This window comes from Homo sapiens, chromosome 22 (assembly GCF_000001405.40).
Source record: "Homo sapiens chromosome 22, GRCh38.p14 Primary Assembly".
Taxonomy (NCBI): domain Eukaryota; kingdom Metazoa; phylum Chordata; class Mammalia; order Primates; family Hominidae; genus Homo; species Homo sapiens.
The window spans coordinates 37,970,040-37,985,367 of NC_000022.11; the positions used below are offsets into that span (position 1 = coordinate 37,970,040).

Consider the following 15,328-nt stretch of genomic DNA (forward strand, 5'->3'; position numbering starts at 1 on the left):
TCCCAGCACTTTGGGAGGCTGAGGTTGGCAGATCACGAGGTCAGGAGATCAAGACCATCCTGGCTAACACAGTGAAACCCCGTCTGTACTAAAAAATACAAAAAATTAGCCAGGTGTGGTGGCGGGCGCCTGTAATCCCAGCTACTCGGGAGGCTGAGGCGGGAGAATGGCGTGAACCCGGGAGGCGGAGCTTGCAGTGAGCCGAGATCCCGCTACTGCACTCCAGCCTGGGCGACAGAGAGAGACTCCGTCTCAAAAAAAAAAAAAGAGTGGAGATAATAGGCCAGGTGCGGTGGCTTACGCCTGTAATCCCAGCACTTTAGGAGGCCGAGGCAAGCGGATCATGAGGTCAGGAGATTGAGACCATCCTAGACAACATGGTGAAACCCTGTCTCTACTTAAAAAAAAAAAAAAAAAATTAGCTGGGCGTGGTGGTGCACACCTGTAGTCCCAGCTACTCGGGAGGCTGAGGCAGGGGAAGCACTTGAACCCAGGAGACAGAAGTTGCAGGGAGCCAAGATTGCAACATTGCACTCCAGCCTGGCAACAGAGCAAGACTCCATCTAAAAAAAAAAAAAAAAAAAAAAAAGAGTGGAGATAATAGGACTGACAGTGGAGAGAGGCGTTTAATGCTGTACACAGGTGTCCCTCTTCATTTCGACCTTTATTAGTGACTTGAATGAGGCTATTCAAGTTTGCAGATACATAAAGCTCTAAAGGAGAGCTAAGTTCTAAAAAGTTTAATACAGGTGGGGAAATGGGTCAAACCCAACAAGGTGAGATCTGTTAAAGATCAGTGTAAAGTCCTGCTTTTATCTAAAACAAAACAAAAACAGCATACATACAATTTGGATATGACTTTGCAATGGATATTGTCTAAAAGATCGGGGTTTCGGTTACCATCCAGCTTCACGGGAACCAGCAGTTTTGGGGAGGTTGCTTGAAGAGCTTCCATGATGCAGGTCCTAGATGGAGGGATTTTGGCCACCCTGGGGACTGGGCTACTTCTTGGTGCCCTGCCTCTCCCCTGGTCCTGACTAGGGGCTGGAGACCGCAGATGGAAGGAAGGGAGCTGAGGATGCCCAGTCTGGAGCAGTGGAAGATGCATTGCTCCAGATACAAAGCAGAAGCAGGGGCTGCAAACCACAGGCAGGTGGAGGGGATGATGGTTAAAAATGCAAGCCTTGGAGTCAGAGCTGGGTTCAGATTCTGGCACCAGCACTTCTTAGCATCAGCCTCGCAAACTTCAGTTTCCCCATCTGGAAAATTGAGATAACGATCGGACCTACCCCTTCACTGGCCTGAATGACATAAAACCCTTGGTGGAGCACTTAGTAAATGGCAGCTGGATATAAGCTGTTATGAGCTGGGTATGAGGAAGAACTTCCAACCATCGGAGTTGTTCATCAGTGGAGCAAGATGGCAAAGAGTCTTTGGAGTTGTGTGCTTGTGAGGTGGAGTGGTCCTGGCCTCTGGGTGCAGTTTGGACTTCTGCTGAGGAAAGAGCTCTTAGGGAGTAGGCGCTTAAGGAGTAGACTGTCTGACATCCTTGGTCTGGACTTGGACATGGGCACCTGCTGTGAAGGCTTGGCTAGATCCTGGCGTGGGCTGCTGTGTGTGTGCTGGGGGAGGTGGCAAGTGGGGGGATGCAGCAACACAGGGCCTATCCACACATCCTGAAGGACAGGCCTCTGACTGCAGGCAGCACGGTGTCACCCTCAGCCCACCTCCTCCTCTTCAGATACCTGTCTCTTGAATTCTTTGCAAACTCCCGTCTGCTGAGTGCTGGGTGAGCAGAGGGGCTGCTTGCAAGGCAGTGAGTTCTAGCTGAGCCAGTTAAGAGTGAGTGGCCCCCCTGCAGTGTGGGGCATAGCCGCCGGGCTGGGGAGAAGTTCCCATCTGAGGCTTCAGTCCCTGAGCTCAGATGGACCCCACTGGGATGCCAGCTGTCCTAACACTCTCCATTGTTCCCACTTTCTTAGCAGGGAGAGAGACAGAAAGAGAGAGAGGAGAGTGGGAGGGGGGAGAGAGAGAGAAAGGAGAGGGGGAGGGGGGAGAGAGAGAGAGAAAGAGAGGAGAGAAGGGAGGGGGGAGAGAGAGAGGAGGGGGGAGGGGAAGGGGGTGGGGAAAGAGGGAGGGAGGTGGGAGAGAGAGACCTTTGATGATCTATCCTTTGCATTCTACTCCTAGCTACTTCCAGAAAGCATTTGAGGAAGCACCAGTACAGGGATAAGAGATGAAGAGACAGGCCAGGTCAGGCTCACCAAGCAGGTAACCGGAACCTTTAATTTTATTATGTGGAATGCTTAATGCAGAGTTAATAGGGGCTAGAGTGGCTAGGAGAGGGGACTACTGAGATAAATAACAGGAGACAGTAATGAGTTACATGTGGATTTGGGGGGCTGCAGAACAGGAAAATAGGGGCAGATATAGCTACATACTTTATTCAAATACCACTGGGAGGCAAGGGGTAAGAGGCAAGGGCAGAATGTACAGGTCAGGATTCTAGTGTCTTCAGCCTGCCGACAGCAACCTGGGTGCTGGGCCCTGTGTCTCCTGGAGCCAAGGGTTAGGGCCTGAGCAGCTGTCACTCTCTGGGAAGCCCAGGGAGTGGGGCTGACTGAGCAGGGGCCATAGAGCCTAGTAAGGGAAGAGGGAGCTGGCAAGGAGCCCAGGGAGGGAGGCTCTGTGAATTGTCTCTGATTCCTTTCCTGGAGCCCCTGCCTCGTCACCTCCTGGGATGCGTCTCAAGGTCATGGAGGTTGTAGTGGAGGAGGACTGGGGGCTGTTTCTCAGACAAAGAATGAGGTTATTGGCACAGAATTGGATCAGGGGGCCTCTGTGCCAACTCCTTCCTGCCTTCAGAAAGGGAGGGGGCATTGAAGGGATGAGAACTCCACTAAGTCCCTCGAACCCCCCACTCCCCAATGAGGCTCCTCAAAGCTACTCTCAGCCCCTGAGTGGGAGACACGGCCAGCTCCGGGCACAGTCTCTGGGTGGCCTAGCCCTTAGGCACTGTGGCATAGGTGGCATGGGCATGTCAGACCCTCACTATCTGTGAGAGAGAAAACAGGAGTCATAGGAGTGGTAAGGCCTCCGATGCCACCAACCCTGGTGCTTCCCCTCCCCGAGGAGGGTGAGCAGGCCCTTCTCAGGTCCTGGGATAGAGGGTCATTCCTGGGGGAAGGTGCAGCCCCTCATCTTTCAGTGTGGGTGCAACAGTCAACCTCCTTCTCCTCTGTCCAGCCTGTTCTCCTGGGGCTTTGCTGCTGGAGCCTGGATGGGGCGGGTGGGTCATCAGGGCAGTGAGCCAGACAGAAAGCCCCCCGACCTGTCAGCCTCTTCAGCCTCCTCAGCCTCCTCCACTGCCACCACCAGGCCTGAGGTGGGCAAGGAACAGGGCACACAGGCTGGGGGCAGGGGCTGGGCGGGGGGTGGTGGCGACAGGGCCCCCTTTAGGGCCGGGACAGTGTCGTATATACTGGCTGCTCCCAGTGTGTGGGGCTGTGGGACTGGGGCCCTGAGGGGCTGGGGTCAGAGATGGCCGTGTAGAGGGGCCGCTGCGAGGGCCCCATATAGGAGAAGGCCGAGTAGAGGCCAGAGGCCTGGCCCGAGTGGCCATAATAGGGTCCTGAGGGCTGATGGTCAGAGTAGTCAAACTGGGGGCGGGAGATGGAGGGGAAGGCTGAGCCATAGTGGGGCAGGCTGAGGGAGGTGTAGGCGATCTGTGAGGTGGATGGCTGGTCGGTGTAGTGTGGGGGCCCCTGGGGCCCCGCGGTCTCTGTCTTCACCTGGGCTTTGGCATCCACACCAGGTGGTGAGACCGTGGGCAGAGCCACGCCTGGTGGCTTGGAGATCCAGGCGGAGTGTCCACTGGCCACGGCCAGGGCACTGCCCAGCCCATAGCCGGCTGCTGAGTAGCTGCTCACATGGCCTGGGTGCCCATTGGGCGGCAGGTACTGGTCCAACTCAGCCACATCAAAGGTCTCCATGTTGGACATTACCTCGTGGCTGATCTCACCAATGTCCACGTTGCCGAAGTCGATGTGAGGCTTCCCGCCCTCCCCCATGGAGCGCCCGTCCCGCTTCGGGTCTGCCTTGCCCGACTGCAGCTCTGTCTTCGGGGTGGTTGGAGGGGTGGGTGGGCCATGGCTCTGGCCTGGGTAGAAGGGAGACAGAGAGAGAGAGCGCAAGGGGGAAGCAGGTTAGAGGCAGGTGGGCGCACGTGAACTTCCATGGTTCACCTTCAGGCAGCGGGTGCCTCTGGGAAAACCTTGTAAGTTTCACATTTTGGCAGCATGAGTCGGGTTTTTTTTTGTTTTTTTTTTTTGAGATGGAGTTTCGCTCTTGTTGCCCAGACTGGAGTGCAGTGGCGCCATCTCGGCTCACTGCAACCTCTGCCTCCTGGGTTCAAATGATTCTCCTGCCTCAGCCTCCTGAGTAGCTGGAATTACAAGCGCCCACCACAATGCCCAGCTAATTTGTGTATTTTTAGTAGAGACGGGGTTTCACCATGTTGGCCAGGGTTGTCTTGAACTCCTGACCTCAGGTGATCCACCTGCCTCGGCCTCCCAAAGTGCTGGGATTACCATCATGAGCCACTGCGCCCCACAGCATTTGTTTAAATACTGGTGTCTTAGATTGATCTCTAGTTGTTTATGAAATTCTCAAATCTTAGGGATGGGTCCTGGGGAGGCCTGCCTCATTCTGAAAAAACCTTTCCTGTGGAAAGTTCTTCCTCTCATCAGCTTCTCTGCTGTCCAGGTGGTCTGGCCCAGCCTTTGCGCTCTGCCAGCCCCGCTTCCACACCCATGCCTACTGTCTTCCTTGCTGAGCCTCGCTCGCCCAGGCTCCTGAGTGCTCTGTTTCACCTTTGCTGGTTGCCTGGGCCTGCTCCCTGTCCTGGCCTCATGTTGTGTCCTTTCCAACCCTTCCCTCCTCCTGAGCCCACCCTGCTTCCCAGCCCACTGGCAAGCCCTTAGCCCCGTCATACGCTGGCCTGTGTTGCCCTGTTGTTCTTTGAGCTGCCTTCCTCCATGGGAGGGCACTTAGAAAACTGGTCCTTGTTCCTTTGTCTGTTCACTTTCCTATTCACATATTAATTTAGCAAACTCTTAGGGAGCATTACAAAATGCCAGGTACTGTGCCAGGTGCTGGGGATACTAATGTAAATAAAATGGATCCCTGTTCCCAAAAGCTCATAGTCTAGTCATAGATCCATAGATCCACATGCACCCAGAGTTGGAAGTGCTGTGGTGACAATATGCAAGGACTTGGGAGACCAGAGGAGGAGTCCACCCGCTGCCTCAGGGATTTGGGGAAGGTTTGATCAGGGAAGGATGTCTGAGTGGGGTGGGGCCTTGAAGGGTGAGAAAAAGTCTGTGTCCAGTTTCATTCTGAGGTGGTTGCTCTGTATGTGGTCCAGGGTCTCCTGATGTGTGTGTGTGTGTCCCTGAATCTTTGAAGGTGAAGAGTATGTACACGTGTGTGGGAGGGATGACTGCCTGGCATCCCAATGGAGACAGAACATGTCCATGGTCTTAAGAGACTAGGAGCTCCCCAAGGACAGGCCTGTGCCTCCTTCATCAGACCAGAGGCAGCGCCAAGTCCTGCATTGGCCAAGGGCTCTGTACTTCAAGAGACCTGCCTAGGCTTTTGAATCCTGGTTCTGTGTCTGGACAAATCCCCAGTCTTCTCTTAACTAGTTTCCTTATCAGTAAAATAGAGATTGTACCAAGCAGCCCAGGCATTGCCTCTTTCTGGAAGCCTTCCTTGACAAGAGTCTGGTGGGCAGTGGGGTGTTCTTGGAGACCTGACTGGATGGGATAGACGGCCATGCCACCTCTGGATCTCACACAGACTTCTTGTGCACTTGTTTCTCTCTCTATATATATACTATATATATAGTAAGAGATAGGAGGCTGGGCGTGCTGGGTCATGCCTGTAATCCCAGCACTTTGGGAGGCTGAGGTCAGGAATTCGAGACCAGCCTGGCCAACACGGTGAAAAACCATCTCTACTAAAAATACAATAATTAGCTGGGTGTGGTGGCGTGCATCTGTAATCCCAGCTACTTAGGAGGCTGAGGCACAAGAATCGCTTAAACCCAGGAGGCAGACGTTGCAGTGAACCAAGATGGCACCGCTGCACTGCAGCCTGGGCAACAGAGCAAGACTCCATCTCAAACAAAAACAAAAACAAAAAAAAGACAGAGTCTTACTACATTGCCCATGCTGGTCTCAAACTCATGGGCTCAGGTGATCCTCCCACCTCAGCCTCCTGTGTAGCTGGGACTGCGGGCGCATTCCACCATGCCTAGCTTTGTTTCTTCCTGTACTTAATTCACTCGTTTTCATCCCTGCTCCTCTCTCTAGACTATGGGCCCCTGAGGCCAGGGACTGTAGGCTTCTCTGGTTAGTACCCCTGGTGTCCACTCCAGTGTTTGACACAAAGTAGGACTCAGAGCGTGTCCTCTGAAGGCAGAGCTCTGCTCACTGAGCACTTCCCATGTGGCAGACCTGTGTGTGTCACTTTCTGTACATTAGGAACACAGGCAAGGCAGCTGTGGTGCCAAGCAGATGCCCGGGAGCCAAACTGGGGAAGTTCCTGTTTGTTTCTCATCAGTAAAATGAGAGTAACTTGCCACAGCTGAGATCTGAGCCCAGGCAGTTTGGGTACCTCATCACATTGTTTGCAAGGATTGAGTTAGTATACATAAGGCAACTAGCACCTAGCACAGTGCCTGGAACAGAGTAGCTGCTCAATTAAGGTTAGCTGTTATTATCATTAATGAAAATTAAACAAGATAGCTTATGTCTGGCCCATCCATGGCCAGACACGGTATCACATGCCATGTCTCCTCTGTCAGAATGGCTGGTGGGATTTGGGAGGCCGAGGCGGGCAGATTGCCTGAGCTCAGGAGTTTGAGACTGGGCCTGGGCAATATAGTGAAACCCTGTCTCTGCTAAAATACACAAAATGAGCCAGACGTGGCGGTGTGCACCTGTAGTCCCAGCTACTTGGGAGGCTGAGACAGGAGAATTGCTTGAACCCGGGAGGAAAAGGTTGCAGTGCACCGAGATCATGCCACTGCAGTCTAGCCTGGGCGACAGAGTGAGACTCTGTCTCCAGAAAAAAAAAAAAAAGAATGGCTGGTGGGAAAGAGGCAGTGATTTCCTCTCCTCCATTTGCTCTTCCATTTCTCAAAACCATCCTGTCTTCTCCCCCTTTACTTGTAACTGCCCCAGCCACCTCTCACTCCATGACCTCCACAGAGTCTTTTTTTTTTTCTTTCTCTTTGAGACAGAGTCTCGCTCTGTCGCCCAGGCTGGAGTGCAGTGGCGCGATCCCGGCTCACTGCAAGCTCCGCCTCCTGGGTTCACGCCATCCTCCTGCCTCAGCCTCCTGAGTAGCTGGGACTACAGGTGCTCGCCACCACGCCCAGCTAATTTTTTTTATTTTTAGTAGAGATGGGATTTCACCATGTTAGCCAGGATGGTCTCGATCTCCTGACCTCGTGATCTGCCCTCCTCGGCCTCCCAAAGTGCTGGGATTACAGGTGTGAGCCACCACACCCGGCGGCCTCCACAGTCTTTAACTGGCCCTCTTTGCCCAGTAGGATCAGCCCTGGCCAGAGCCATCTCACCCAGCCACTTCCCCTGGCACCGGAACCCCCATGGAGCTCCCTCTGGGCCCCTGCAGCTCTGCTGGGGCAACTGCACAGCCTGGCACGCTCTCCCTAGAGTCCAGGGTCTCATTGCCATCCAGCCATCTCCTGTCTCCACTGACTGGCCTTGCCCCACCCTCAGCTCTGTCATCAGCACTCACCTGAGGGGTGCTCGGGGTTCCCATCTGACATGGGGGAGCCCTCTCCTGGGTGCCGGTGGTCCAAGTGGGCGCTCTTGTAGTGGGCCTGGATGGCGGCGGTCCCACCTTGCTCGGCCTCCCCACCGGGGCACTCCGCCTCGCCCTGGGCGGCCTTCCCGTTCTTCCGCCGCCTGGGCTGGTACTTGTAGTCCGGGTGGTCTTTCTTGTGCTGCATACGGAGCCGCTCAGCCTCCTCGATGAAGGGGCGCTTGTCACTTTCGTTCAGCAGCCTGGGGTGTGGTGGGAGGCGGAGAGGACAGCAGAGGGGCTGGCGTGAATGCCAGAGCACTCCAGGTTGGCCTCCCTCTGAGTGTCCATCTTGGAAGATGTGAGGCCCTGGGATGGGGCACCCAGAGGACAGGACCCGGGGTGGGGGCTGTGCCCTATGATTTGTGGACTGAGAGATGTGAGGCCCAAGGAATAACAGCCTCAGAGGGCTGCCCCCAAATCTTTCATGGGCTGGAGGGTGAGAGAGGGGTCAGCCCGCTGCTCCTGGCAGCCCCTGAGGAGGAGTTAGAAGTAGGAGTAGAGGTTTCAAGGGGCAGATGCCAGTTCAAGGAAAGGAAAAACTTTCTCATCATCAAAGCTGTCTGCAAGTGGAATTGGCTACTTCAGTGGGGGTGAGCTCCCTGGGACTGAGGGTGGGCAATAGAAGCAGCATGGCTGGGGGAGAACTCAGTCTCTGCTACTTACTAGCTGTGTGTGTGACCTTGAGCAAATTACTTCTCTGAGCCTGAGTTTCTTCACCTATAAAAGGATGATAACATTGGCTTAACTTGGGTGTGGGATTGGCCAGAATAATGGATGTGAGATGCCTTGCACCAGGGCCTGGGAAGCGGGCTGAGCACCTTGAGGAAGAGGTGCTTTTCTTTCTTTCTTTTTTTTTTCTGTGAGGGAATCTCACTCTGTCACCCATGCTAGAGCTCAGTGGTATGATCTCAGCTCACTGCAACCTCTGCCTCCCAGGTTCAAGTGATTCTTGTGCCTCAGCCTCCCAAGTAGCTGGGATTACAAGCATGCGCCACCACGCCCGGTTAATTTTTGTATTTTTAGTAGAGATGGGGTTTCACCATGTTGACCAGGCTGGTCTCCAACTCCTGACCTTAGTTGATCCGCCTGCCTTGGCCTTCCAAAGTGCTGGGATTACAGGCATGAGCCATTGTGCCCAGCCCAAGAGGTACTTTTCTATTTTTAATTTTTTATTTATTTAGAGACAGAGTCTCACTCTGTCGCCCAGGCTGGAGTGCCGTGATGCGGTCTCAGCTCACTGCAATCTCGGCTTCCTGAGTTCAAGCGATTCTCCTGCCTCAGCCTCCCGGGTAGCTGGGACTACAGGCACGCACCACCATGCCTGGCTAATTTTTGTATTTTTAGTAGAGACGAGGTTTCACCATATTGGCCAGGCTGGTCTCCAACTCCTGACCTCAGGTGATCCACCCGCCTTGGCCTCCCAAAGTGCTGAGATTATAGGCATGAGCCACCGTGCCCGGCCCCAAGAGGTGCTTTTCTAATGCTGCTTGCGGGGGTGGTTGGACAGGAGGATCTAGGGTTGGACTCTTAACTCTGGGTCCTGATTGTGTGAATTCCAGTGTGGTGGGACTGAGGGGGCAGATGTGGCTCCTCTTTACCATGGGTCTGGGTGGGGGGTACTGCCTCCTGTGGGGGATCCTATATCCTTGTCCAGAAAATAGCAGAGAGTAGAGGAAGCTAGCCTCTCCTCAGACCCTGGAACAGTCCCTGAAACCAACACATGGAGAGAAGAAGCCCTGAAGCCAGCGCCCTTGCCACCGACTCCAGCCTTAGGCCAGGGTTGGAGGGTGGAGGGCATTTAGGGTTTGGCTGCCCCAGGGTGAGGAGGGCAGGATGGGGTACCTTACAGAGGGGGTCGAGGGGAAAGTCCAGATTCTAGAATCCCAGACCTTGGTACTGAGAATCCATGAGTCTTTGTGGGAGCAGCCTTGTCTGTCAGTCCAGAGGGCTTGTCTCTTCAGCTGCCCCACCCCTCACACCCCAGTGAGTGCCCTCTTCCCCCAGTCAGCAGAAGGCCGAGCCCTCCCTCCCCAGGCTGGGCGGGGGTGGTCATGCCAGGCACCTCCTAGCCGGCAGCAGCATTCCTCTGCGGCTTAGCCTCCCTGTCTACTCCCCCCACCCCGGCCCTGAGCCCAGCCCTAGCCCCAGCTTTCTCAGAGGGTCCCTCCAGCCGAGACTCTGTCAGAGTCAGTGTACACACTTAGGACAAAGATGCCGGAGCAGGGCCTTGAGAGTCAGGGAGTGGGATGTGGGCACCCTCTCTGACGGCTGGGACCAGGGGAGGGGGTGGAGCAGGCCTTGAGGGTGTGACTGGGGAGAACCCACAGAGGAGAGAGCTGCTCCGCCAGCAGTGGACCCCAACAGAGGGGCTTCTGGGATGGCTGGGGACATGGGACACAGAGCTCACTCTTTCACCTATCCTTCCCTTGCCCCCTGCCCAGCTGGCAGCCAGCATCAGCAAGAAAGTGACAGGGGCCAGAAGAGAGAGAGGATTCCAACATCGGATTCCGCTGCTACCTCCTAAGCTAGTTCCCAGCATTAGCCTAACCCTGACAGAAATCTAAGCCTGGGGCCACTGCCATCCCCGACCCCAGCTCCCTCCTCCACCAGCTGTGCCGGACAGCTGATTCCACCTCCACCCCAACCCCAAGCCCAGCCTGCCCACCATGTAAACCCAATCTCCAGCACCAGTCCCCACTCAACATTACCAGCCCCAAACCCCCAACTTCGCCTCCAGCTCTAACTCCAAACCCAGTCCTCATCTGCACCTTCCTGTCAGCCCTCTTTCTCCCTGGTCTCCCAGGTTTGGAATGGGGGCAAGAAGAGGTAGGCTGATTCCTCACCCAAACTGGAAACCCCAACCGGGGACCTCCCACAGTGGGGCACTGATTGCTGCTACCTGTGTCCTGCTAGGCCAGGGGCATAAGAAGACTACTTGGGGAAGGGGCCTGTGGCACTGGGAACAGAGGCTGGGTGACCCCCACCACACAGGAGGGACTCTTGCCTGTGTCCGCCTTTCCAGTTTCTTGGCTCTGGTTCTTTCCAGGCAGATCAGCCAACCCACAGGCACCACCCTGTGATCAGCCTCAACTAGCCCCTCCCCAGATGGGCATCAAAGGTTAGAATGACTGTTGGGGCTGACACGGCCCCTTAGGACCTGGGCTCCAGTGTGTCTGATCCCACACTCCCTTGGGGCACTCCACACAGTCTGTGTGTATCTTTCTCTTTTTGGTTTTAAGACACCTGTTTTCCAGCTCTGCCTACCTAACCACCCCACTTCTTGACATCCCAGGAGTCACAGCTTGGGGAGGTTTCAGGAGAAGCCCCTGGAGCAATTGGCCAGCCCAGCCCAAATCCAAATGTCTCTCAGGACCCCCCTCCAGGGTCCAGGGAGCCACCCTCTGTTGGCATTGCCTTTGATCCTTGCCATGGTTCTGGCCCCATCCTCCCATTGGGATTGGGTCCTCAGCAAGTAGTGCCAGTTTTCCTGACTGCCACACCTCAGGCTGGCCCCTGTGCACACAGCTTGAGTGATGGCCAAGAATAAGTCCTCCTGAAGGGAGTCCAAGCCCAGGGTTCTGGGCTGGGGGAACCTGGGGACAGGGACAATGGAGGAGCCAATCTTAAACCCTTGGCAATGGGAGATGGAGGGAAAATGAGGTCCGTCCTTGCTTTGACTCTCGTTGGGCTCGTACTGTGGTCTTCTCATGGTCCCCAGAGTCTGCCCTATCTGTATGTCTCTCCTGGTTGTCTGTTTCTCACTTGCTCTTTGTCCCCTGGCACTAAAGATACTGGCCTGGGCCAAGCCCCACCCAGATCTGGATGGACCTTGGGTGGAGGAGCTAGCTGTGACCTCTGCTCTTGGGCAGAACTGGGCTGTCTGGGTCCACACAGCGGGCTGGTCGCTGAGCCCTGGGCCTGCCCTGGGTGAGCAGGGCACTGAGGGCTGAGAAGGGGCAGGGGAAGGGGCACCAGGTCTTCAGCAAACACATGGCAAGAACAGGCCAGGGGGCGGGATGTGAATCTTTTGGTCTCTTGGAGATCCTCCTGCACCTTCTACCACTCTAAGCCTCTAGACCCAATCTCTACCCAACTGTGGCTGGCAAGGGGGAGGGCAGCGGAAGAGAGCCGGGCTCCTCTGACAAAGCCCTAATTTTCTGGAACCCAGATGCTCCTCACTCTTGTTCTCATCTTCTTGCTTCCCCCCAACCTCCTGACCACTCCTCAAAGTGTAGGTGATCCACCACTGTCACCAGGGTCAGGGGAAGTCCTCTGGACAGAGAGTATGGGAGTCCTGGGTTCTGGCCCTGGCTCTGCTACCAACTTCTATGTGACCTTTGTGATTCCTTTGCCTTTCTGGGCCTGTCTCTTGGTCAGTCTAGCGAGAATCAGGTGACTGCTACCGGCTCACATCTCCTGGAGTCCCTGGTCTCTTTCAGAGCTGCTCTGGCACTCCCGGGTGGGAGTGGGGGACTGTCTTGTTCCACACATCCCCAGGAGGCCTGGCTGAACCCCAGACCTGAGTCGAGGGTGGGATAATTGCTCCCTGCGGGGGATGTTTTTCCTAGAGGTGTGGGCTGGTCCCAGGGAACCTGGGACTCTGAGGGCCCCTGGGCAGGAAGGAGGCCAAGGTTTCCTTCTGGCCAGAGTGCTCAGCTCCAGCTCTGGGGCAGTGGGGAAGAGGTTGCTCAACGTTGGGGTGGGGCCCTGGCAGGGAAGATGGCGCCGAACTGGGAGAGGGAGGAAAGAGATCAGCTTGGTGACTCTGGGGCAGGGCAGGAGGGGGAGCCCCTTACTGTGTGTCCTCTCCCTAGGAGGATGAAGAAGCCCCCAACTCAAAGGAGGGTGGCGTCAGAAAGTCCCAGGGAAGAGCCCTAGGATAGGATGAGGTCCCGCAGCAGCAGATTTGTCCCGCAGTTCTTCATCCCTCACTCTTCCAAAGACTCTCATCTGAATTCCGTTTTCTTTAAACCTCCCCTGAGTTCTCCATCTGACTGCCTCAGTTTCCCTGAATCTCCAGCCAACCCTTTGGTTCTTTCCAAGCGTTTCCCTCGTATCCTCCTGACCACAGCAGCTGGTGGCATAGTGTGCGTATCTGTGGGCAGGAGTTAGTGAAGGCCTCCTTCCCTCCCTCCAAAGCCCCAGGCCCCACGGTCTGCCACCCGCAAAATTCCAACCACGAGGGGGCGCCTTCCTGCCCGCCGCCCCGTAGGGAGACCCGGCCTAGGCCGCTGGAGTTCCGAGTTCCAGGGTCCTTGTGATGGAAGGGCGGGCGCGGCCCCCACACCTGGTCTTCCAGCCCTATCCAAGGAGGACTGCCAGACAGTCCCGCTCTGAGGTGCAGGAGGCCGGGCCGCCTCGGCTACCCTGAATCCACCCGAAGCTAGAGGGCCCGAGCCCGGGGGGCGGTCGGGTGCTCACCTCCAGAGCTTGCCCAGCGTCTTGCTGAGCTCAGCGTTGTGCAGGTGCGGGTACTGGTCCGCGAGCTTCCTGCGCGCTGCCTGAGCCCACACCATGAAGGCGTTCATGGGCCGCTTGACGTGCGGCTTGCTTTTGCTGGCGCCGTTGACGCGCACGGGCATGGGCACCAGCGTCCAGTCGTAGCCGCTGAGCACCTGGCTGACGGCCTCGCGGATGCACACGGGGAACTTGTCATCGTCCGCCTCGCCGTCCTGCTGCTCCTTCTTGACCTTGCCCAGCTCGCCTGGCCCCGGGCTGGCTCGCAGGCCCGATCCGCCGCCGCCGCCGTCGGGCCCTAGCGAGGGCGCGCTCCCCGGGGACAGGCAGCGGGGCTCCTCCGAGCCCACGGGGCTCAGCTCCACCTCCGATAGGTCCTGCTCCTCCGCCATGTCGCCCCCGGCCGCCGCCGCCGCCGCCTCGGCCGCCTCCCCCGGGCCAGCCGCCGGGGTCCTCGCAAAGAGTCCAACGCCCACCTGGATGGAAGGAGGGCGCGATGGAGCGGCCGCGCGCGCAGCCCCGAGGGCGGCCCGAGACAGGACGTGGGCACAGCCCCGAGGTGGCGGCCCTTCCTGCTCCAGCTAAACCCATCTGGCCCCTGGGGCCCACGCACATGCCAGACTCTAGGTGGGTGCGTCCCGCCTCTGTGTCTTCCCACCACCTGGTCCCAACCGTCTCTTGGTGTGGGTGGCTTTTTTTTTAGCCTCCTTTTTTGGGTGGAGGTTTGTTGATGATAAGGAAGAAAAAAACGGAGCCTTTATTTTGCTCTAATCCCGGCCCCTGGAATTTCCCACCTTTTCTCTCACCTTTCCTTCTTCCCTCAGCCTGCCCCAACGGGGTTTAGAGGAGAGCCAGGTGGGGGGCAAGGGCGGGGTGTCGCCTCTCTCCACCTCACAGCAGGGTCCCAGGCCTGGGCGGGCCAGGGAGGAGCAGGCTGCGCACTCACCTCCTCGGACCTCTCCTCCAGTCTGGGGCTCGTCCTTAGGAAGTGGAAAACCGTGTCCCAAGGTGTGCGGTCCAGCTCGGGGCTGGGAGGTGACGCTGGTGGGCTGGGAGGGAGGGGCGGGGGGCCCTGAGCCTCAGGCCACGGCCTCGTTAGGACGGAGCCTGAATCCTTACCACCAACCACCCTGGCCGGACAGCCCGAGACTGACTGAGCGACTGAGCCTGAGCCGCTGCGGAGGGCTGGGGAAGGAAGGAGGGGGAGAGGGGGGAGGGGAGAGGAGGGAGGGAAGGGCAGAAGGTGGAGCCTCCAGGCTTTCCTTCATCCCCAACACTCAGGGCTCCTCCACCCGGAGCCCAGGCCCCCCCACCCAGCTCCCTGCCCTACTGCCCAGGCCCATCTTGCTGAGGCTTATCTTGGGCTTAGTCTGGGAGGTGGAGGGGAGGTTAGGCCGAGGAAGGAAGAGATGTAGGCTGGAGGGTCAGAACCTGTTGGATGGAAGAAAATTGGGCCCAACCAGGACTCCTAACGTCTGCCTCAGGTGGCAGGATGGGCACTTGGCAGGGGACTAGGGAGAGACGTGAAGGCGGTGAGGGTCCTGGGGGCCCGTGAGGGTGGCTGGCCCTAGCTGCTTCGTCTGCGAAATCCTGTTGAGTGCCTAGTGTGTGCCAGGCACTGATGCCCAGCTCCTCACCCTGCCTCCTACCTTTTCCCAGGCAGCCCTTTCTGCCCCATCCTGCACAGTAAGAGAGACTTCTCAGGGATCCCTCTGAGAAGTGCAGAGCCCCAGCTTGACCCCTGGTCCCTTCTCTGCAGACACCCAGCACACGCGCGTTCTGGTCTGGTTCAAGGTGGAAACACAAGACTAAAGCTGCCAGGAGGCCAAGGTGGGACAGGTTGGGGGCCCTCTCTCAGTAGGTCTTAGAGGCATTTTGGGTTGCTACCTACTGGGACCCAGCTCCTTCCACACTGGGCTCACCCTGTCTTGGGAGAGGGTAGGGGAGTCCTAGTCCTGATTGTCACGAAGTCCTC

The 15,328-nt window shown here is 56.9% G+C and overlaps 2 protein-coding genes across 4 annotated transcripts in view, besides 3 other annotated features; one reads left to right on the plus strand and one right to left on the minus strand.

Annotated features, from left to right (window-relative positions):
* Window positions 1-15,328, plus strand: part of POLR2F (RNA polymerase II, I and III subunit F) — an 88,253-nt gene that overhangs the window by 16,377 nt on the left and 56,548 nt on the right. The window contains exon 5 of one of the 3 annotated variants that reach the window (NM_001363825.1): window positions 2,191-2,271. The exons of the other annotated variants lie outside the window; for them this stretch is intronic. Coding sequence (NP_001350754.1) covers window positions 2,191-2,233 — 43 coding nt within the window. The 3' untranslated portion in view covers window positions 2,234-2,271. The remainder of the gene's footprint in view (window positions 1-2,190; window positions 2,272-15,328) is intronic. 3 annotated transcript variants of the gene reach the window in all.
* Window positions 1,707-2,220: an enhancer, noted in NCBI's record as "OCT4-NANOG-H3K4me1 hESC enhancer chr22:38367753-38368266 (GRCh37/hg19 assembly coordinates)". NCBI's record gives its function as "activates a minimal SCP1, AML or CMV promoter by ChIP-STARR-seq in naive H9 embryonic stem cells {active_cell/tissue: H9 hESC(naive)}" and the evidence as "EXISTENCE:reporter gene assay evidence [ECO:0000049][PMID:30033119]".
* On the minus strand, window positions 2,273-14,516 carry SOX10 (SRY-box transcription factor 10). The gene is made up of 4 exons (NM_006941.4): window positions 14,300-14,516; window positions 13,318-13,829; window positions 7,828-8,096; window positions 2,273-4,159 (listed from the first exon to the last, which is right to left on the minus strand). Exons 2-4 carry the CDS (start codon window positions 13,743-13,745, stop codon window positions 3,456-3,458), a joined length of 1,401 nt encoding a protein of 466 aa, NP_008872.1. The 5' UTR covers window positions 13,746-13,829; window positions 14,300-14,516; the 3' UTR covers window positions 2,273-3,455.
* Window positions 2,550-2,750: a silencer, noted in NCBI's record as "peak4487 fragment used in MPRA reporter construct". NCBI's record gives its function as "represses an SCP1 promoter by STARR-seq MPRAs in K562 erythroleukemia cells {active_cell/tissue: K562}" and the evidence as "EXISTENCE:reporter gene assay evidence [ECO:0000049][PMID:32103011]".
* Window positions 12,785-13,622: an enhancer, noted in NCBI's record as "H3K4me1 hESC enhancer chr22:38378831-38379668 (GRCh37/hg19 assembly coordinates)". NCBI's record gives its function as "activates a minimal SCP1, AML or CMV promoter by ChIP-STARR-seq in naive H9 embryonic stem cells {active_cell/tissue: H9 hESC(naive)}" and the evidence as "EXISTENCE:reporter gene assay evidence [ECO:0000049][PMID:30033119]".

Excerpts from the sequence above, each read along its gene's own strand:
- SOX10 (NM_006941.4), bottom strand. The coding sequence starts at position 13,745 with ATGGCGGAGGAGCAGGACCTATCGGAGGTGGAGCTGAGCCCCGTGGGC. Across the intron at positions 8,097-13,317 it reads ACGCTGGGCAAGCTCTGGAG|GCTGCTGAACGAAAGTGACA; the intron begins GTGAGCACCCGA and ends ACCACACCCCAG. Across the intron at positions 4,160-7,827 it reads GAACCCCGAGCACCCCTCAG|GCCAGAGCCATGGCCCACCC; the intron begins GTGAGTGCTGAT and ends CCTTCTACCCAG.